Source organism: Homo sapiens, chromosome 8 (genome assembly GCF_000001405.40).
Source record: "Homo sapiens chromosome 8, GRCh38.p14 Primary Assembly".
Lineage (NCBI taxonomy): Eukaryota > Metazoa > Chordata > Mammalia > Primates > Hominidae > Homo > Homo sapiens.
In genome coordinates, this window is record NC_000008.11 from 73350307 (window position 1) to 73371896 (window position 21590).

The window sequence follows — 21590 nt, forward strand, 5'->3', positions numbered from 1 at the left end:
CTCCCAGGTTCAAGCAATTCCCCTGCCTCAGCCTCCCAAGTAACTGGGACTACAGGCATGTGTCACCACACCCGGCTAAATTTTTTTTTTTTTTTTTTTTTTTTTTTTTTTTTTTTTTTTTTTTTGAGACGGAGTCTCGCTGTCGCCCAGGCTGGAGTGCAGTGGCGCGATCTCGGCTCACTGCAGGCTCCGCCCCCCGGGGTTCACGCCATTCTCCTGCCTCAGCCTCCTGAGTAGCTGGGACTACAGGCGCCCGCCACCTCTCCCGGCTAATTTTTTGAATTTTTAGTAGAGACAGGGTTTCACCGTGTTAGCCAGGATGGTCTCGATCTCCTGACCTCGTGATCCGCCCGCCTCGGCCTCCCAAAGTGCTGGGATTACAGGCGTGAGCCACCACGCCAGGCCTACCCAGCTACTTTTTGTATTTTAGTAGAGACGGGGTTTCACCATGTTGGTCAGGATGGTCTTGATCTCCTGACCTCGTGATCTGCCCGCCTCAACCTCTCAAAAGTGCTGGGATTACAGGCGTGAGCGACCATGCCCAGCCATCTCTACTTTTTTTTAAAGAAATCATCTGAGATCCAAGAGTTGAAATTCCTATCTCCTCCTCCATTCCCATCTCACTTCTATTAGAGGACATCTGAGAGCATTGGTGACGAGGGGCGTGTCTGAATCTCCTACTAGATGCTCAGCTCCTGAGAACGATTGTGTTTTATTCTTTTTTTTTTTTTTTTTTTTTTTTTTTAGACGAGGTGTCACTCTGTTGCCCAGGCTGGAGTGCAGTGGCACAATCTCGGCTCACTCTAACGTCTGCTTCATGGGCTTAAGTGATTCTCCCACCTCAGCCTCCTGAGTAACTAGGACTACAGCACGCGCCGCCACCACGCACAGCTAATTTTTTTGTTTATTTGGAAAGACAAGGTTTTGCCATGTCACCTAGGCTGGTCTTCAACTCCTAGGCTCAAATTATCTGCCTGCCTCAGCCTCCCAAAGTGCTGGAATTAAAGGCATGAGCCACCACACCCAGCTGTTTTATTCATTTTTAACCACTTCAGTATTCAGCCTAGTCCCTAGCTCACTGAGGTTCTCGGCCACTGTTTATAAGGTTGAAATATGAATCAAATCCTATCCTGAGGAGTGTCTGAGGCAATCGGGGGTGTGGAGGGGAGGATCATCCTGGCCTTGGGCTATGGCAGGGACAGGCCAGGGGCCCAGACCAGGCTAAATAGGTGCAACGGAGGGAAAATGACACAGGTCATGTTCAGAAAGTGAGAAAAAACAGAAAAGAGAAAATGGAAATGAATAAAACTGACATGCTTCAAACAGTCTGACCTCGTAAATTCGAGTCATTTTGTTTTACATTAAAAAATATCATCCACAAATAGGCAATACCCAAAAAAGAAATCTAGGGACCTTAAACATATGAAAAAACTTAATAGAAGTCAAAAATGACACTTAGAAAAAGATACAAGAGCTCAGAGTACTAAAGACAAAAAAGAATGTGTGTACCCCATTGGTGGTTCTCCTGTCCATCGTTGGCAAGATGTAGATTATAGCTGGGCCCAGTGGCATGCACCTGTAGTTCCAGCTACTTAGGAGGCTGAGATGGGAGAATTGCTTGAGCCCAGGAGTTCGAGACCAGCCTGGGCAAAATAGAGAGACCCCCATCTCTTTTTTTTTTTTTAAGTGAATAAAAAAATGTAAATTGATGCAATATTAAAATGTGCATACCCTTCAATTCGATAATCTTCCAGGAAATTCTCTTAAGGAAGTTATCAAGTCCTGGCACTGTAATCATAACACTTTGGGAGGATCACTTGAAGCCAGGACTTTAAGACCAGCCTGGGCAACATAGGATGACCCCTGTCTCTACAAAAAATAAAAATAATTAGCCATATGTGGTGGCATGCACTTGTACTTACAGCTACTCTGGAAGCTGAGGCAGAAGAATCACTTGAGCCCAAAAGTTCAAGGCTGCAGTGAGCACTCCAGACTAGGCAACAGAGTGAGACCCTGTCTTAAAAAAAAAAAGAAAATTGTCAAACAAATGTATGCTAGTATGTACAAGATTTTATTGCAGCATTGCCTATAATAATAATAATAAATGGTAAACAACTAACTGGTTAATGATAGGCTGCTATTAAATAAATTATGGTACACCCACGCAATAGAATATTATGTAGACATAAAAAAAAGTGACAATTCTGTATTTTTGACATTGAAAGATGTTTATGATATAGTAAAAGTGAAAAAAATCAGGTGACAAAATTATCATATAATCCCATTCTTGTATTTGTGTGTTGTTATAGGCTGAATGTTTGCATACCTTCAAAATTCATATGTTGAAATCCTAACCTCCAATGTGATGATATGAGGATGTGGGGCCTTGGAAGGTGATTAGGTCATATGGGTAGAACCCTCATGAATAGGATTAGTGTCCTTATAAAAGTGACGCCAGAGAGATTTTTTGCCTTTTCTGCCATGTGAGGTTACAACAGTCTGTGTGGAAACAGGGCTCTCGCCAGACAGTGAATTTGTCGGCACCTTGATCTTGGGCTTTCCAGCTTCCAGAACTGTGAGAAATAAATTTCAGTTGTTTATAAGCCATAGTAGTTTTGTTATAGCAACCAAAATGGACTAAGATGCATGTATATTGATAAATACATAGAGAATTTTCAAAAGTCTGGAGGAATGTCTGCTACGTATGGTGGTTATGTATGCATGCTTTAACTTTTCCTCAGTAAAACAAAATAAATTTTATATTCCATGTGAACTATCCATGACCTGGCAGTCAGGTGAATGAGTTAGCTGCCTCCCTTCATGCACTGACTACCTGTCCACATTGGCCATGACCGGAGATTCCAGTTACATGATCCCCATCAGGACATGAGTCTAAAGCCACTAGCAGAGAAACTCTTCCCAGACCAGAGCAGGTCAGACAGGGTGGGTGGCCTTTTTTTCTCTTGCCTGCAAGAGCAGAAGAGGAAGAAACTGCTCCTCAGATGGGCAGGTTCATGAGGACAAAGGTGGTGACCGTCCTCAGTAGCTCTGCTGTGGAATTAGGACACTCAGGTGAGAGCTGGGACAGCCTGACTGAAGTCCTACTCCACAAAGCAGTGGTAAACGGGCAGTGGGGAGGAGGAATGTAAGACCCTTTCCCCCAAGGGGTCACCAAGTCCAGACCTAATTGTCATGCCTCCTTACTGAGGCACATCCCTGAGCAAATGGGTCACAAAGCAGCTAGCTCCAGGCACCAGCACATATTTGAAGTAAACACTTGGGCTTGAGCGTGGCCCAGGCTACAGAAAAGCAAAAACGTCTCTGGATGAATGGAGAAGCAAACAGGAGGGAGTTCAAGCAAAAGTCAGGATGGTCCCTAGAAGTAGGTCCTACTTTATCTGACAGTCCACCAGAACTTTTTCTTCTGTTATTTACTGACACTTCCAGCTGGGTGCTATTGTCATTGCATGTCTCTTCAGGCATTTCATATTTTACCTCCCTTATTATTAGGCTGGCCATGCCCCGAGGAAAGGCTAGTTTCACAAATCTCATCCCACCTCTTCAGTACCAAGTATGGTGCCTTGTGCAGTAGATCATTCCTTTGATATGTGGTTATTGAGAGCCTGCTATGCCAGGCACCATGATAGGCATTGGAGAGTCTGTAGTGACCAGGACAGATGGGCCTCCTAACTCAATGTATGCACATTCTAGAAGATGAGCACCATACACTGTACAAATAAGTAAACAAGAGAATATGAAACTGAACGCAAGGAAGTCCACCTGCCATTCGACTCAATGAGCCCAGTCCAGAGAGAGCCTGAGATGGGAGAAGTGAATCTGCTGTTTCCTCCTGAGCATCTCCCCATGCTAAATGAGATTCAGCTGTTAATGTATTTTCTTATAAAACATCATGCTTAAATAAAAGCCAACGGCTTCCTCTGGTGTTTGACCACAGGAAACATCAATGTGTTCCAATTTGGAGGAAAAAATGGTTCTATCAAACTTACTGAGTGATGGTATGTGTTTTTCAACATGGTCACCTCTCTAGGGAATTTTCAAGGGTTATGTTGATTACATGTGATTTCCACATCTTATTTATTTATTATTTTGAGACAGGGTCTTGCTCTGTTGCCCAGGCTGGAGTGCAGTGGCACTATCATGGCTCACTGCAGCCTTGACCTCCTAGGCTCAAGCAATCCTCCTGCCTCAGCCTCTCTAGCAGCTGGAACTTTTCAGGTGTGCACCACCATACTCGGCTAATTTTAAAATAATTTTCACATTTTTTTTTAATAGATACAGAGTCTTGCTATGTTCCTCAGGCTGATCTTGAACTCCTCGGCTCAAGCAATCCTCCTGCCTCAGCCTCCCAAAGTGTTGGGATTACAGACGTGAGCCACTGTGCCCAGCCTGTGTGGACTTTAGAACCTAATCTCTAATAAAGTTGGACTCCTCTGCCTGTTATGCTGTCCACTGACTATCCACTAATTCAATCTGTGGCATTCACTAACTCAGTACCGTGTGTTACAAAGTCCCTACTATGTGTCAGTAACTATTCTACACACCGAAACTAGAGAGATGGATCCAAAGAAGTACCACTCTCAAAGAGGGAACAATATCTTCAATATCTAATATTTGTATAATGTTTTACATCTACAAAGTGTTTTGTAATGCTGATCCAGTTTTATCTACCCAGCATCTCTCATTTTCTGGGATTGCACCTCTGTCTTAGCTTGAGCTACTATAAAAATACCATAGACTGGGTGGCTTAAACAACGGATGTTCATTTCCCAATTCTGGAGCTGGGAGGTCCAAGATCAAGGTACTGGCAGATTTGGTTCTTGGAAGATCCTCTTTCTGGTTTATAGATGACTTTTCACTGTGTTCTCTTATGACCTTTCATTGGTGTATGTGAGGAAATCTCTGTCTTCCTCTTCTTAAAAAGGTGCAAATCCCATTTTGAGGATACCAGCCAAGATCTCATCGAATCCTAATCACCACCAAAGGCACCAACTCCTAACACCAGCACTTTGGGATTTAGGGCTTCAATGTATCAAACTTAGGGGCCTACAAACATTCAGCCCGTAGCAACCCCGTAGCACCCATACCTTTAGGAAATACTCTTTCCCACACTGCAATCCTGTGTTCTCAGTGGGAGCCATCACAGTTTCTAAACTGTGGCTCCCCTGGTCATATTTAATTGACTGAAGTGGGGCCACAAGGCTTGAGTTGGGTCAGTCATGATAATTTTTGCCCACTGTCCAAACTGACCGGTCAATGGAAGAGTACCCAGCCCCAACCTGGCCAATCAAAGTTCTTTCCAGGATTTGTCCACCAGAAACTACAGAAAGAGACTACAGAAAGTGCTGAAGCTCTGTGATCTGTGGCGTGTGAACAGTAGCTGGCCATGTTTCCAGGGAGGAATATGGCACCAGTGCTCAGAGGGCAGCAGGAGTGTGAAGGATGGAGAGAGAGCCTCCTGCAGCAGCTGTTTCTGCCACCCTGAGGGCCTCCATACCGCTGCCTCTTCCAGGGCAATAGGAGATTACCCATAAATTCTTCCTTTTGACTGAGCTGGTTCAAAATGGTTTTCTGGGCCAGACGCAGTGGCTCACACCTGTAATCCCAGCACTTTGGGAGGCTGACGTGGGCAGATCACTTGAGTTCAGGAGTTTGAGACCAGCCTCGCCAACATGGAGAAACCCCATCTCTACTAAAAATACAAAAATTAGCCAAGGGTGAAGGTGGTGCACCTGTGGTCCCAGCTACTCAGGAGGCTGAGGCAGGAGAATCACTTGAACCAGGGAGGTGGAGGTTGCAGTGAGCCAAGATGGCACCACTGCAATCCAACCTGGGGGATAGAGTGAGACTCTGTCTCAAAAAATAAATAAATAAATAAATAAAAATAAAAGATGGTTTTCTCTGTGTCACTTACAACCAAAGTGCCTGAGATATTCTTTTTCAGACATCTTTTCATTTTCTCCTCACCTTGAGGAAGGAGCTCAGAGAGGTTAAGTGAACTGCCCAATATCCCACTGCTCCAGAAGAGAGCAGCAAGAATTCAAATGCTGCTTCACATCCTGGTTCACGCCCTCAAAAGAGGTTTCCCGCCCTGGATGCCAGCCTCTCTCACAGGTGTTTTCTGTACTCTCAGTGGTGTCTTTTTTACAGCCCAGAGCCGCACATGTCCTGTCCGTGTTCCGGTCCTGCGGTGACTCACAGTCACATCACAGTGCAGGCAGACGCTCCCCTGACAGCCCATTGGCTCTTCGTTATCTGACTCCTGCCTACCTCGCCCAGCCCCCTCCTCCTCCCTCCAGCTCATGTGTGCTCCCCATCCAACCCCCTGCGTGAGTCACATGCTGCTCCCTCGGCCAGAGCCTTTGTTTGCCTGCCTTGGAGGCCTGGCATATGCCCCAGTCCCCACCCACCCAGGAAGCCTCCACTGCCACCTACCACCCAGGCGGAGCCCCGGCCTCCTCCTTCCTCTGTGTCTTCCTGGGATCGACCTCCAACCCAGCAGCTGTCTCATTGTTTTCAAATTCCCAACCTCTGCCTTCCAGAATAAAGGCATGTGGGGACAGGGACAGGAACTTCATCTATCTCTAGCCCCCTGCACAATCCCTGCCACATAGTGGTATTCAGTTTGTTGCTCAGGGGATAAACAAGAGCACCAGAAATATGAAGGTCGATGCAAATATCGAGTATTCATATTTCTTTAATAATCCACATTGTTTGGGAGTCAACTGATGTGATGCTTTGAAGCCAGTGAAAGCTGAACGGGCAAATCTGAAATACCTTTTCAGAGATTCATCTGCACTCTATGTACCCAATTAATGCTGAGCCATTAGTCCTTTCCGAAGCTGCCAGGATCTATTAAGCCATTTAACTTATCCTTCCGCACTTCAGGATCAGTCCCAAGGGCATTTTTTCAGGCCTGGGCAGCCAAAGTATAAATGACTTAAGTGGTGAGCTTTCTCTCACTCCCCCTGGGACCCCAGTCCTCCAAAGCAGAGCTTTAATGGCGCTAAAGCACTGTGAAGCGAGGAAGCGCCTAAAGCTGCCACTAGAGTCGGCCTCAACCCTGAAGGAAATCCTGGTTTGGAGCCCTTGCTCAGGGCGGGCCTTCTGAATAACTGCAACAGGAAAGCACCCTCTGTGGGGTGATTGGAATGGTCCCAGGAAAGTCCCCAGGCCTAAGGATGCCCCTCAGGAATTCACAACAGTGCTTGAAATCCCCTCCATTTATCACTTAATAAGTATTTCTTGAGCACCTACTAGGTGCCAGGCACTTAGGGATTCTGACAGGAATCCTTATAGGTTTGTTATTTTGAGCTAACTGAGGCTTTATCCTGAGCTCAAAAGCAAATATCTCTTGGAGGATAACCCACTGAGCATTATCAAGTCATCAAATACCATCCTTCCCAGGACACCACTAAGGAAGGTGGCAGCTGTATGGGGAGGGTCTTAGGACTCATATGGATACAAGTTGCTGGGGAAAAGAAGAGGAGTGAATCCTGTGGAACACAGGCTAACTCCCTGTGTCATGAGTGGCTGCCATGGGTCAGGTCAAAGGCAACTTCCATTTCCCCACCCCTGCAGCCTCATGAAATTGCAGAGAAACAAGCAGGGTGGGCATGTCAAATACACCTCGTTTATCAGATTCGCCTATATTCCTCAACCTGGTATCCCCCCCCCGCTTTTTTTTTTAAGATGGAGTCTCGCTCTATCACCCAGGCTGGAGTGCAGTAGCGTGATCTCAACTCACTGCAACCTCTGCCTCCTGAGTTCAAGTGATTCTCCTACCTCAGCCTCCTGAGTAGCTGGGACTACAGGCGTGCACCACCACGCTCGACTAATTTTTGTATTTTTAGTACAGATGGGGTTTCACCTATTGGCCAGGCTGGTCTTGAACTCCTGACCTCAAGTGATCCACCTGCCTTGGCCTCCCAAAGTGCTGGGATTACAGGTATGAGCCACCGTGCCTGGCCCTGGTCCCATTTTTAATTCTCTTAAGAAATGCTTTAGATCTGCAAGTGGGGTGTGCAGATCTAAGCTTCCTAGGTTTGGCATATAGTTTAGCCTCTGTGAGCAAAACCTATTTAGCCAGGACCAACTCTAAGTTGCACCCATAATAATAACACAACAGCTAGTGCTCTCATTTACCAAGTACCCACTAGATGCCAGGTGCAGTAGTGGATGCTCTGTGTGATTGGTGTTTTGCAATCATGTCAAGGGCATATACTTTTAAGAACCCAACGCTTCGAGGGGATATTTGCTCAAGATCACACAATTAGTCAACAGATGAGGTAAGAGTAAACACAGTCCCCACTTGTGCAACTCCAGGACCCATATTCATGACTATTATGCTGCGGAAATCATGAACCAGATAAAGTTCACCTTTAGTCCCTTGTCTACACCCTGAAGGTGTAACATGAGGGATCCCATCTGCTATGGTTTGAATGTGCGTGCCCGCTCCAAAATTCATGCTGAAACTTAATCCCCAGCGCAACTGTATCGGAAGGTAGGGCCTTCTGGTGGTGGGGTTGAGTGCTCTGCCCTCATGAATGGCATTAATGCCTTATAAAGAGGCTTCACACTGCGTCTGCTCCTTTTTGGCCTTTAACCTTCCTCCACGTAAGGACACAGTGAACAAGGTGCCATCTTGGAAACAAACAGCAGCCTTCACCAGACACCAGACCTTCTGGCACCTTGACCTTGCGCTTTCCAGCCTCCAGAACCGTGAGAAATCAATGTTTATTGTTTATAAATTACCCAATCTGTGGTATTTTTTTAAAACAGCATAATGGGACTAAGACACCATCAGAACTTGGGACCAAAAGAATACTTTTGCCCTCTGAGAGCTGATTCTTAACACAGAATAAAAATGAAGAATTACTTTAAAGAGATGGACTACCTCAAGGGTAACTTGATTAAAGGTCTGGAGGGAGGAGGAGGGTTCAGTGGTCGGTCACAGTCTCCCACAACAGATAAAATTAGGGACACACTACTATCATTTCAAAATGTGATTAATGTAAAAAATTTAAATAAGATATTTTATATTCTTTAAAATCAGGACTACATTTTTAACCACATCCTCTTACTACCAAAAAGAAAGTCCTGCGCCATCACTAGGGCAGTTTTCTCTCTGGTGGGGAGAGATGTACTGGGAATTATCACAGCCCGGTGATTCCAGCCGCTGCTACTTTCTAAGTTCTTCTCCCACCCAGTGTTGGTTCTCCACAACATGCTGTTCATGGATATCTGATCCTTGGCAGTTACAGCTCACAGTAAATTAGCAAACAGAAATTGGGATTATTCATCCACTCTCGTGAATTTCAGGCCTAGTCACCTCCAGGTACACCATGAATATGCCAGGCCCTGGGACCCAGTGCCCACCCGTGAGGCCCATCCAGGCACTGAGCTGGCCTGCCCAGGCAGACCTGTAAGTGCGTCTCAGGCCTTTAGATGGTCATGGGCCCTGCCAACCCTCTCCCTCCTCGGGAATCCTGTGTTTTTGAACTGGCCCTGGTTGGCCTGCACATCTCATGGGAAACAGGTATGACCTGCTACTGCAGGGCCAGAGTGGGGCACTGGTCTTTTCAGCCTGCCTCCCCAGTCCCTTTGGACTCTGCCTTCTAAGGGCTCATGACTCTTTGCCGGACAAACCAATCATGCTTTTACCTTTGCCAGGTGTTAAAAATAAAAAATAGCTTTGGCGGCATCGAAATTCATTATAACTTATTATATAAAATACATACTTTTATTATTAAATATAGCATTATATAGTATAAATATAGATATGTATTAAATATTTATAATTAAATTTTAGAATTTTTCAATGTGTAAAAAGTAGAAAGAAAAATATAATGAACTCCCATAGCCTCATCACCTTGTTTCAATATTAATCAACATCTAGTCAGCCTGGTTTTACCCAACCACCACACCTTCCTACTCTGAACATTTTAAAGCAAATCCCAGAGGACACATGATTCCACCCACAAATACTTGGCTATGCACTCCTAACAGATAAGCACATCTTTAAAAACATAGCCGTAATACTGTTATTACCTCTAACAAAATAAACAATAAGCCTTTAAGATGATCTAATACCCAGTCTCAATGTTCAAATTTCCCAGATTGTTTCAAAAGTATCTTTTTATAAATAGTCGTTCTGGAAGCAAACAAGATTCAAATACTGCATTTGGTTGTTATATCTATTTTATTCTGAGACCACCCCTCTTCCCAATTTGTTCTAATACCATTTATTTGTTGTAGGAAGTAAATTGCCCCACATTCTGGATTTATTTCCTTTTGGTGTTAACTAGTTCCATTACCACCAGTATTTTCTATAAACTGTGAAGTTATATTTAGAGCAGTGCTGTCCAGTGGAAATATAATTTGAACCACATATTTAATTTTAAACTTTCTCTTTTAAAACTTAAAAAAATAGGTGAAATTATTTTAATAACTTATTTAATGTAAAATAGCCAAAATATTATCATTTCAAAGTGTGATTAACATAAAAAATTATAGATGAGATATTTTATATTCTTTTTCTTTTATATTCTTCAAAATCAGGTATGTATTGTGCACTTAAAGCACATCTCAGTTCAGAATAGCCACATCTCAAGTGTTCAAAGGCCACCTGTGGCTACCGGATAGGATAGGGCAGATCTAGGAGTTTCAATAGATTCCATTTTAAAGTTTTAATGTGCAACGAATACTTCATGGGTGTTGCTGTGTAGTTCCTGCTTTAAAGTTCTCTGTCAGCCGGGTGTGGAGGCTCACACCTGTAATCCCAGCACTTTGGGAGGCAAATCACCTGAGATCAGGAGTTCAAGAACAGCCTGGCCAACATGGCGAAACACAGTCTTTACTAAAAATACAAAAATTAGCTGAGCGTGATGGTGGGCGCCTGTAGTTCCAGCTATTTGGAAGGCTGAGGCAGGAAAATCACTTGAACCTGGGAGGTGGAGGTGGCAGTGAGCCGAGATTGCACTGCCACTGCACTACAGCCTGGGCAACAGAGTGAGACTCTGTCTCTAAATAAATAAATAATAAATAATAAAAAATATAAATGCATGGGTAGGTAGGCACCAAAAGCAGGATTTGAACCTTGGCCAAGTATGTTAAATACTATGTAAGAGTGGTTTTTTTTTTTTGAAACAGTCTCACTCTGTTGCCCAGGCTGGAGTGCAGTGGCATGATCTCAGCTAACTGCAGCTTCTGCATCCTGGGTTCAGGCGATTCTCCTGCCTCAGCCTCCCAAGTAGCTGGGATTACAGGCACCTGCCACCATGCCATCAGTATCAACTGATGATCATTTCTGAATTCATTATTTCATTAGGGACTGCAAACTCATAATTTTCTAATTCTGTTATTCCTTCTGCATTTATTAGGGGTAAATTCTTACATAAAAATGACCTTTACCTTGTTGGCTCTTTAGTTACTCTGAAATATAGTTCACACAGGAAAGATGGGATCGATGCTTGTTCTCTGTCAATTTTTAGAGAAATGAGTTGATACCCAAACAACCTCTAGTGGTGATCAATGAGGGGTCTCTTTTTATCATCGCGAGCTCATGGATTTCTATATTTATTACCTTTCCATATATTGCAGTCATTATTCTTTTGCAATGTTAAAAATGAACCCATCTTTGGCCAGTAGGACTCTCCAGCTGGCTTCTGGACCAGTTTTTAAGAGCTTTTCTGCTTTCTGGTAAAATCACATGTATAAAGCTCATCTTGGACATTTCCTATCCCAGCAGGAATCAGCTATTTCTCCAAAGGAGTCATTGCTCATTTTACTGCTCTGGGCATCTCTGAACGATACAAAAAGATCTAAAGAAAGGGAATTAGAAACACCAAGATGATCAATAGGACAAAGATGTTACCTTTTTGGAAGAAGATGGGTAGGGTGAAGGAAGACAGCAAGTTTGAAGAGGGTCTTGCATGGCCTTACCTGCTCTGCTCATCTCTTTCTCTAAATCTCTGCTCTCCTCTCCCTTTACTCTTAGGACTAGAACTATTGCCACTGAGGGCAGGTGAAAGTTCAGCCAACTCGGAACCCGGAGGCCCCACCTTACCTCCCTTTGTGAAGAGCCCAGAGCCTTTGTCCAAAGCTGCATCACTTCCCACCCAGCCCTTCCTGAGCCAACTCCCCGATGTCTCCAGAAGAACACAGTCGGCATCATCGTGATAACATCAGGGAAACTCCTATTTCCAGCAGTTTCTCCTTCAGCTGCAAAAATGTGCAGCAGTAGACAGGGCGTGGGTTTTTGAAGTCTCTGCAGGAAGTAGAGTTATTTTCTCAGCACCACATCTGAGCGCATCTTCTAAGGGTGGCCGACTGTGTGGGAGCTGCAGGAGCTCAGCCGGGATGCAGCCCTCCCATTCCCCACCCTGTCCACTACCACCACGCCTGGATCCGACAGGCAGGGCAGGACCCCATGCCACGTGGTAACTGTTAAGGAAAATGGAGCCAGGTAGGGGGGATGTCTGATACCCTTCCTGGTTTTCCTGAGTGTTCTTTGTCTCCCCAACTCCTACTCACAATAAATCTGACTACACTTAAACTTAGATCATCATAAGAGACCCCGCAAATGCCCACCATCCTCCACTGCTGTGATCATGAATCTAGAATGGACATTTCATATCAATGCCACAGTCCCCTGAGACCATCAGCCAGAAATGTTATCACAACTCCCTCGCTTTGCCCTCCATTCCCAGAAGGCAAGGAAAGAAGGAACCCAGTTTCCCAGCACCCAGATGCCTACTGATCCTGGCACGCAGCTCAAAGTTCAGTTACATTAATGATGGGCCTACTGCATGCTTGGGGCGCTTCCCTGTGTGTTTTGTGTGGTCCTTTCAGAAGTCCTATGGATAGACATTGTTAGCCCTATGGTATAGCTGAAGTTGAGAATCCCTGGTGGTTAAGTCATTCCCCCAGATCACATGGATGGCAAGTGACAGAGGCAAGACCCATCCTTGGGTCAGGTATGAACGTCTCGAAGGCTTGGATCTGTCTGCACGTGGGTGATTATCACATCCAGACTTGCACTGAAGGTCATGCTGGCTGCCATGGGCTGTGAATACCTTTCCTCAATCAGGCACTTTGTGTCTATTATCTCATTTAATCTTTGTTCTGCTTTATAAAGTGGCTCTTAATATGCCCCCTCTACAAATGAGCCACCTTATCTAATGTCACTAAGATGTGTACCGGACCTGATTCCAAAGCCTATGCAGTTTCCATTAAGCACCTCTGCCTTTTGAAAAGTAGGTAATTTCTCCATCTCTCCTAGCCCCCATTTTCTGAATCTGTGGCACATTAAATGCATATAAATGCAAAGACAGATGACAGTATCTCCATGTCTGAAAGGTAGCCTACGTGTGTTAGCCTCTGGAGGCACCCTGCTAGGAGGCTGGAATCTGGGATCCAATGCGGTCCAGCATTTAGCAGAGTGTGCCGCTGCTCCAGGCTCCAGAGCATTCTAGGTGCTATGTAACATTTGACATTTTGACATGGGCATTAGAAAAAAAAAATACAACTAGCACACTAAACTCATTATTTCAAATATTGATCAGGATAAAAATATGTTAACAAAAAAGTCATTAAAAATAATGAGCTTCTTGTGAGTGATTTACAGATTTGACTAAAATGCAAACTGTCAATGACAAATATGAGAATTAATATACTCCAAAGGGTAATGAAGGAACAGTCCTCCTGACATCTTTACATGCCAGGTAGCACCCTGGCCTTTTAGAGAGGTAGGGATAGCAATTGTAAAGCAGCACTGGGTCCCCTAGCTAGAATCGTCCATTACTGGCTTTTGTCACTAACTGAAAAATGCGGTCATGGTTTCCTTTTCTCTGGCACATTAAAAATAAAGGACATCTTTTTCCTTTCATGTGGACATCTGATGAGATTTACTGAAACTCTACCTTTAACGCTGCAAGAGTTTATGGGAAATAGTAATCCACCCCAAGAATAAACAGTAAATGGAATGACGATTTTCTAGGAAGTGCTGTGTCTGGCTGCGGCAGAAGCAGCAATGAGCTAAGAGAGGTTTTTTGGCAGCCCTGAAGGGCCATTGAGAACTGTGAACTGTGATGAAGAAAGCATTCATCCGTTTATATCTCTGTGGGAGTGCCTTCTGTGAGGCATCAGGGTGTCTGCCTTATCTGGGGATTTCCTCTGGCATTACAGAAAATGATGCAGGTTTTGCCTCTGTTCCCCGGAACAAGAGGTGAGAGGCTGGCCTGGCTGGCGTGAGATTCTCACTCGTGGTCATTCTCACTGAGGTTGGCTCAGAAATCTGGGTGAAATGATTCACCTGCTGCGTTGGCATGGCTTGGAGGGCAGCTTGAAGCTGAGTTTCCAAAGCTGAGCCCTTTGCCTAGGAAAACTCATTTCTGTTCTCTCCTTTCCTAAGGACAGGCTGTGGTCAGCAAGCTCAGTGGTTCATGGAATGTCTTTAGAAAACAAGTTGCTCCATGTATGCAAGAAACTGGTACCCAAATGCCGGTTGTGGCAGTATTTGCAGCAGCAAAAGGTTGGAAACGAGTCTATAATTCATGAGTGGGCAACTGGCTTATGTGATGCGATGTGACGTGATGAAATATAATGCGGCTATTTTCAAACGATGACAGCACACTGCTGTCATTGACAGTGTCAGGTCTGATAGATTTAAATGGGCATGGTGGGGCAGAAAATGATCTGTAGAGTGATTCCATTGCCGTGTACAGTGCATCTGTATGTATGGCCTAGGAAAGGGTCTAAGAGGCACTCCTTGCCTCCAGATGGGGTGCAGGGCTGCTTGATGAACTTGGGGTGGGTGGGGTGAGAGATGGATCCTTTCCTGACTTACTGTCCTATAAGGGGCAGGGGGATACTTGCCTGAGTAGGAGAGGAGCAGTGGGTAGCTAAGCTTGCTCCCAGGGCCCTCTCGGGGAAACCTGCTCCTTTTGCATTTTTCCAGGACTGGGGAGAATCCAGCCTTGGACTCCACCAGTGGGCTTCACTCATTGTCTATGAGGTGGCCAGGCTCACTGTGTCCTGAGGGCCAGACACCCCAGGGTGCTGCTGAAGAGGATAGTGCCCATTCTATCTCTGTCTCTCCCTGAGAGCGGGACCGCTTCCTCTTCCCTCTTCCATGGTGGTTGGGGTCCTCCATCCCACACTTGAACTCCCCAGGGCCCGTTGTCCTCCCTGCAGTTCCCCCGACTGTGTTCTTCAGTCCTATCAAGTCTCAACCCTCAGAATCCTGCTCTCTGAGAAGGAACCAATGCACGAACTCCAGGCGTCTCTGCCAGGCAACACATTTGCATTTTAACTGGGATTTTCTGGGGGAAAACTCCTTACGAGGAACAAGGTAAGGAGCGCCCACTTCATCCAGGTCAGGTTTGGGAATAAACAGTGAGCCCACCCAGTGGGGGCACCTCCCGTGGCGGAGGCCAACAGAGGTGGGGCTTTGGGGGACTTCAGACAAAAGGGCAGGCAGGTGCAAAAGAGGTCTTGGGGGAAGTGAGTTTCCTCCACGTGATCAAAGCAGACCCAGCAGGCACTGCCTCCGCACTTGTGGGAAGGCGTGCTCCTGGGAACCAGAAAGCCTGGACTTAGGGATGGAAGAACTAGGCTGGGTTCCAATCTTGTCTCCTCCCTCTACCCACAAACAAACCTAGGCAAATCCAGTCAAGGAACTGTCAATTCCTCATGTGTAAAATAGTGATAAAAACAGTGCCTTTGTGTGACCTTAACCTGAAAATGGAAAGAAAGGAAAAATTAAAAGTTAAAAAAAAATAGTGCTGGGCGTGGTGGCTCACATCTGTAATCCCAGCACTTTGGGAGGCCAAGGTGGGTGGATCACCTGAGGTCAGGAGTTTGAGACCAACCTGGCCAACAGGGTGAAACACTGTCTCCACTAAAAATACAAAAGTTAGCTGGGTGTGGTGGTGGGCACCTGTAATCCCAGCTACTTGGGAGGCTCAAGCAGGAAAATTGCTTCAACCTGGGAGGTGGAGGTTGCAGTGAGCCGAGATCGCGCCACTGCACTCCAGCCTGGGTAACAGAGAGAGACTCTATCTCAAAACATAACTAACTAACTAACTAAATAAATAAATAGTGCCTTCATCCTAACCTATGGGATTCTTATCATACTAACTGAGATATGCTGGAGTTTACTTTCCACGTCGCACTGTACCTAATGAACATGATTCAAATGTCTACTCTCTCCTCCCTGAGGCGGCAGTGTGGCCTGGTGGCTGGTGCGCCTTCTGCCTTAGGGGGCCTGTGACACAGCAAGGGCCACAGTGGTCAAATGCACAGACTCTGAGGCCAGGCAGCTGGGGTCCACCTCTGAGACTTTAACCTCTCAGGACCCCGTTTTTCTATTTTAAACTGGAGATAACAATAAGACTGTCTACACAGGCCCACTGGGAGGATTAAACACTTGTAAAAGCAAGTGAGCAGTGCTTGACTCGGTTGGCCCTGTGTGGGTTCCTGGCAGGGACCTCTGAAGAGGGGTGAAGAAGCCACTCTCTACCCCTGACTGTACAGCCATGCACTCAACGATGACGAACCTGTGGGGGGCTGCCCAAGCACCCCGGTGTCGGAGAATCCTGCTTCATTTCCTAGCAGGATCGAGCCATGCAGAAGCAATGCATGACTAGTGGTTCCTATCACGCTGACTCTCTAAGGCTAAAATGAATTAGTCACAGATAAAAGTGGTCAGATCTCAGGATTCGATGCTTCCCTTTCTTTCTTAAAGCAAGGATGAGGTCTGAATAATAAAATGAGCAATAGGCCATTTAAAAAGAAGCAAAGCTAGGAACTTTCACAACAATTTTTCAGGATAAATAAAAATCAGTAAAATAAAGCTATTTTAAAATGAATTAAATTTATGAAGCTATTGAATTCTGAGAAACTGCTGCCTATCTGGCGGGGATCATGGGGTAACCCGTGTAACAGGAATACTGGGGGCTTCCAGTGTCACTCAAATAGCTCTGACTATGTCACATACAATTATGTTGGTCCTGGACATAGAAGGGGAATACAGGGAGGCAGGAAATTGGCCTCCATGGTGAGGGGGATGCCACATGCTGGGGAGGGGGGCAGCAATGTATCCTTTGGGACTTTAGAGGAGGGCCTGAGTTGTGAGGCCAGGAGTGAGGAGGAAAAGATTCAAGGAGAGCATGGACTCTGAGTCAGACAGAATGACAAGAAATGAGGCATCCTCCTAGGGAAAGATATTTGGTACCAAAAAAAGGTCCATTGTAAGCTTCTTTAAATTCAGTATGAGATGGGCTAGAAAAGCAAGATGAAAGGAGAATTGTAGCTTAGAAAGCAATTCATATGGCAAAGAGTTAGTGGGCAAGGTCTCTTGGCCAGAGTGGAACCAGAATCTATCAATGCAACATCTTCCTGGGAAGCTGGGAACCTCAGGCTTTACATCATTATGCTCTTGTGGCACAAAATCAGACAAAGGGTATGTTCCGGACCAGGACCCAGTTTATTTTCCAAAAAGAAATTGTTGGATGTTCCAACCCCATAATATGTCCTCTACACTGAGGGACAGTTCAAAGCATTCAACAAAACTCCTTTGTGGGGGTGTTTCCTTGAGCAACAGGAGAACATTATACACAGATTTGTGACACAGCCTGGTGGGGTTTGAGCTTTGCTTTGCTGTTTTGCTTCTCTCTCTTTTTTCTAGTAAAAACCTAAGCAAGAAGGTATATTTATAATCCCCAAAGGGAAATTCTATGCAATAGCAAAATGTAGGAACATTTGCAGTGGTGGGTCTGGCTGGGATGCCGGGTGATGGAGCTGGTTCCTACACAGGTATCAGTGGCTCCCTGTTCGAGACAGATCTGAAGTTCAATCAGTGGCCAACTTTTCTGTCCACTGTCATTGATGGGTTCAGAAGGACCAACTTGGAGGGCACTGCTTCTAGTCAGTCATTCACCACGAAGCCTGGGGGTGAATGGCCCCCAAAAGACACGTCCTGCCCAGAACCTGTGAATGTGACTGTCTTAGTCGTTTTCTGTCATTTATAACAGAATAGCTGAAACTCGGTAATTTATGAAGAAAAGGAGTTTATTTCTTACAGTTATGGAGGCTAAGTCCAATGTTGAGGGGCTAAGTCTGGTGAGAGCCTTCTTGCTGGTGGGGACTCTGCAGTGTCCCCAGGTGGCACAGGTCGCCACATGGTAAGGGGGCTGAGAATCTTAATGTACTAGCCCAGGTCTCTCTTCCTCCTCTTATAAAGCCACCAGTTCCCCTCCCATGGTAACCCACTAATCCATGAGCCTATTAATTTATTAATTCATGAATGGAACTAATCCATTCATGAGGACAGAACCTTCACAATCCAACCAGCTCTAAAAGGCCCCACCTCTCAGTACTGCCACGTTGGGGATTAAGTTTCAACATTAAGTTTTGGAGGGGGCATTCAAACCACGGAAGTGACCTTACTGAAAAGCATATTTTATAGATGTAATTAAACTACATGTGAGATCATCTTCGATTAGGGTGGGTCCTAAATCCAATGACAACTGTTCTCATAAGAGAAGAGAAGGTGATATGAAGGCATAAGTAGAGATTGGAGGGATATGTCTACAAGTCAAGGTATTGCCATGAGCCACCAGAAGCTGGAAGAAGCAAGGAGGGATTCTCCCCTGGATCCTTCAAGCAAATGCCATTCTGATTTTGGACGTCTGGCCTTCAGAACTGTGAGAACACATTTCTGTTGTTGTAAACCACCTAGTTTGTGGCAATTTGTTACTGGCAGCCTCAGGAAACCAGTACAAACCCCTAGATTTTTCTTCATATGGCATTCAATAGAATATGTTCATTCGGAAGGGGTTCATTGGTTTTTAAAGGCAGTCCCTCCCATTTAAATTTGCCAAGTACCTGCATCACTGTCAGAGAGTTGGGCCAAGGAGAGAGGAGAGGCCTTGGAGCGGGGAGAACAGGAAAACAATGGCCCTGGAGTTGGAGCTTCAAGAAAGACGCTGAGCTGTGGGGTTGGAGGGGTCACTTCATCTCTTGCTCATCTGTCAGATAGGAATATTATGAAGAAGAGCAAATTAGATAAATTGCAGGAATGCACAATGTCAACATAAAGGGTTGGCTGAGTCCCCACCATTACTCTCACCCTGGGGGAGCCCTGCTAGAAAGACCCCCTTACTGAAGCTTTGGATCAGTGGCTGTAGAGTCAGTGTGAGCTCTACAGGCAGACACCCCAGGTTCTGTGTCTTACAGCTTCGTGACCTTGGCAAATTCCTTCCCTGAGCCTCAGCTCTTCATCTGTATGGTTGATACCTAGAATAGGTAAATTCATAGAGACAGAAAGTAAAATAGAGGTTATCAGGGGAGGGGGGGTGAGGGATGGGGAGTTATTGTTTAACAGGTATGGGGTTTCTGTTTGGGATGATGAAAAAGTTCTGGAAACTGATAGTGGTGATGGTTGCACAAGACAGCAAATGTACGTAATGAGACTAAATTGTACATTTGAAATGGTTAAAATGGTCATTTTTATGTTATGTATAGTTTACTAGAATTTTAAAAAGCATGTTAGCTGTGTTTCCCATCCCAGGGCATTGTGGCAGTAGATGACCAGGTAGCCAGTATGGTGGGCAAGGCTGGCCAATAGGCTGGCTGCACCAGCTCAGTATTTGTATAAATGGAACCTTAATGATTTAACCCCAAGAAGAGACTAACGTGGGATTTCAGGATCTTAGGCAGGGCCCAGGAAAGAAAAACGTGCTAAATAACTTTGAGTGGAGGAGCGGGGTAAGGGTTGAAGAGAAATCCTTCCTGTGCTCTTGAAAGTCCAGCAGGGGCCAGGCAGAGTGCCTCACACCTGTAATCCCAGCATTTTGGGAGGCCAAGCTTCACTTGAAGCTAGGAGTTTGAGACCAGCCTGGGCAACAATGGAGACCCTGTCTCTATAAAAAATAAATAAATAAATAAATATTTTTTTTAAAAAAGAAGAAGAAAGTCCAGCAGGTAGGTGGAGACTTTTTCTTTTCCTTTGCAAAAGCAGCCAAGAACCTTCTGAACCTTGGGGCTGCTCTTGGATCCCTTTGCTCTGTATCCTCCCATTCAACTAAATGTCCCATATTTGGCCCAATTTCAAGTTTACATTCGTTTGTCTGGCCTGGAGCCTGCCGTCTTCCAAGGAAGCGCAGTCTGCATTATCCGCCCTCTCTCTCTGAGGAAGACAGATGGATCGGCAAATCGTGGGCTGGAGACAGGAACTCGGGCCCCACCTCCGGCCTGTCAATTCCAAGCCCCTCAGAGTCTTTGTTGTACATCGCTGCCATGGCGACTGCTGGGGACAACACCTGGCCAGCGGAAGCCTGCCAAAGCCCACTGCAGCAAGAGCAAGGGACGAAGAGGGTATTTCCGGGACAGTTAGTGAGCAATTAGAGACCGGGGGCTAGAGCGAGCGAGCCAGCCCGAGCAGTCGGGAAGTGTTTGACCCAGAATTTAAACCACAGAGGCTGAAAATATAATTTTTAAAAATCAATATAATTGCTTTTGTAAGTGCTAAATACTGCAGAACTCTTTATAAGTTACTTTCTGATTCTTTATTCTGGGGCATAGTGACCAATAAGCATGCTGGCCTCCATTCCTGGCCCTTCTTGGGGTTTATAATTACAGCAGATCCACGGAGAGCTCGCAAACACCCTGGCCCGGCCAGGCAGAGACCAGCTGTTTGCACACAGACCTCGAAGCGAGCAGGGCTTGCAGACAGTGAAACATGTTCTCGTATTAACATCTTTCTCACGAGCACTGCCCCCTACACTGCTAACACAGTCAGAGGAGTCAAAAGTGGCTTCCCCGTGTGTTTCTCCATTGCACTCCCCGTTATTTAAAAAAACATGGAGTTTTAAATTTCACGTTCTGTGATCTAACTTCCCATTTCCCACTCACAAACAAATGACATCTGGCCACTCTCAACAATAAACTTGGAAAGATGAGACATTTCCTGTTAGTGCTCCATGTAACCCCTGCTTAAACTTTCAAATTCCTGAAATAATTGCCCGAAAAATAAATGGATCATTAAAAAGTGAAGAAAAGGGAGAAGAGGGGGGTTGGGAACCTGCCAGGAGCGCCTCTGACAGTCAATGTTGATAAGTTTTTAGCAATATTCCGGCATTTATTTAAAAAACCATGTTTTAACACTGATAGATGAAAACAGATTTGTTATTCTGCACAACCACCTTGTGGAAATCGCAATTGGATAAACCTTCCAGGCTGCTAGATCCAACATCACAGCTAATTGCCCAATTTCTTGAAGTGGTGGTAGAAAATATTATTTTAAAGTCCTCATCTGTTTTTTAGCACTCTGCTTATCTATCCACCTAATTCCTAAGAAATGGCATATGGTCTCACAACTTCAACAGTTACACAACCCCATTATTTTTCAAAGCTGCGTTTCGAAGCCTGGATTTTCTTCCTCATCTTCAGCTGCCAGCTGGACATTTCTTCTTGGAGGCCCTACCCTTATCTCCCATTCAGCATGACTAAGGCTGGTTACTCTGCACCAGCCTCCCAAAGCCGGCTCCCCTCTCCACACTTCCTCTTTC

General features: G+C 45.3%; 2 long non-coding RNA genes across 2 annotated transcripts in view; both read right to left on the reverse strand.

The window, feature by feature from the left end:
• The window catches only part of RDH10-AS1 (RDH10 antisense RNA 1), a 45556-nt gene extending 39401 nt beyond the window's left edge, over positions 1-6155 (reverse strand). Inside the window, exon 1 of the long non-coding RNA NR_125388.1 lies at positions 5986-6155. This is a non-coding gene — a long non-coding RNA (RDH10 antisense RNA 1). The remainder of the gene's footprint in view (positions 1-5985) is intronic.
• Positions 6156-17801: 11646 nt separating this feature from the next.
• On the reverse strand, positions 17802-20314 carry LOC105375899 (uncharacterized). The gene is made up of 4 exons (XR_929044.3): positions 20141-20314; positions 19184-19317; positions 18907-19049; positions 17802-18009 (listed from the first exon to the last, which is right to left on the reverse strand). It is a non-coding gene; the product is annotated as an uncharacterized LOC105375899 (long non-coding RNA).
• Between the last annotated feature and the right edge of the window lie 1276 nt (positions 20315-21590).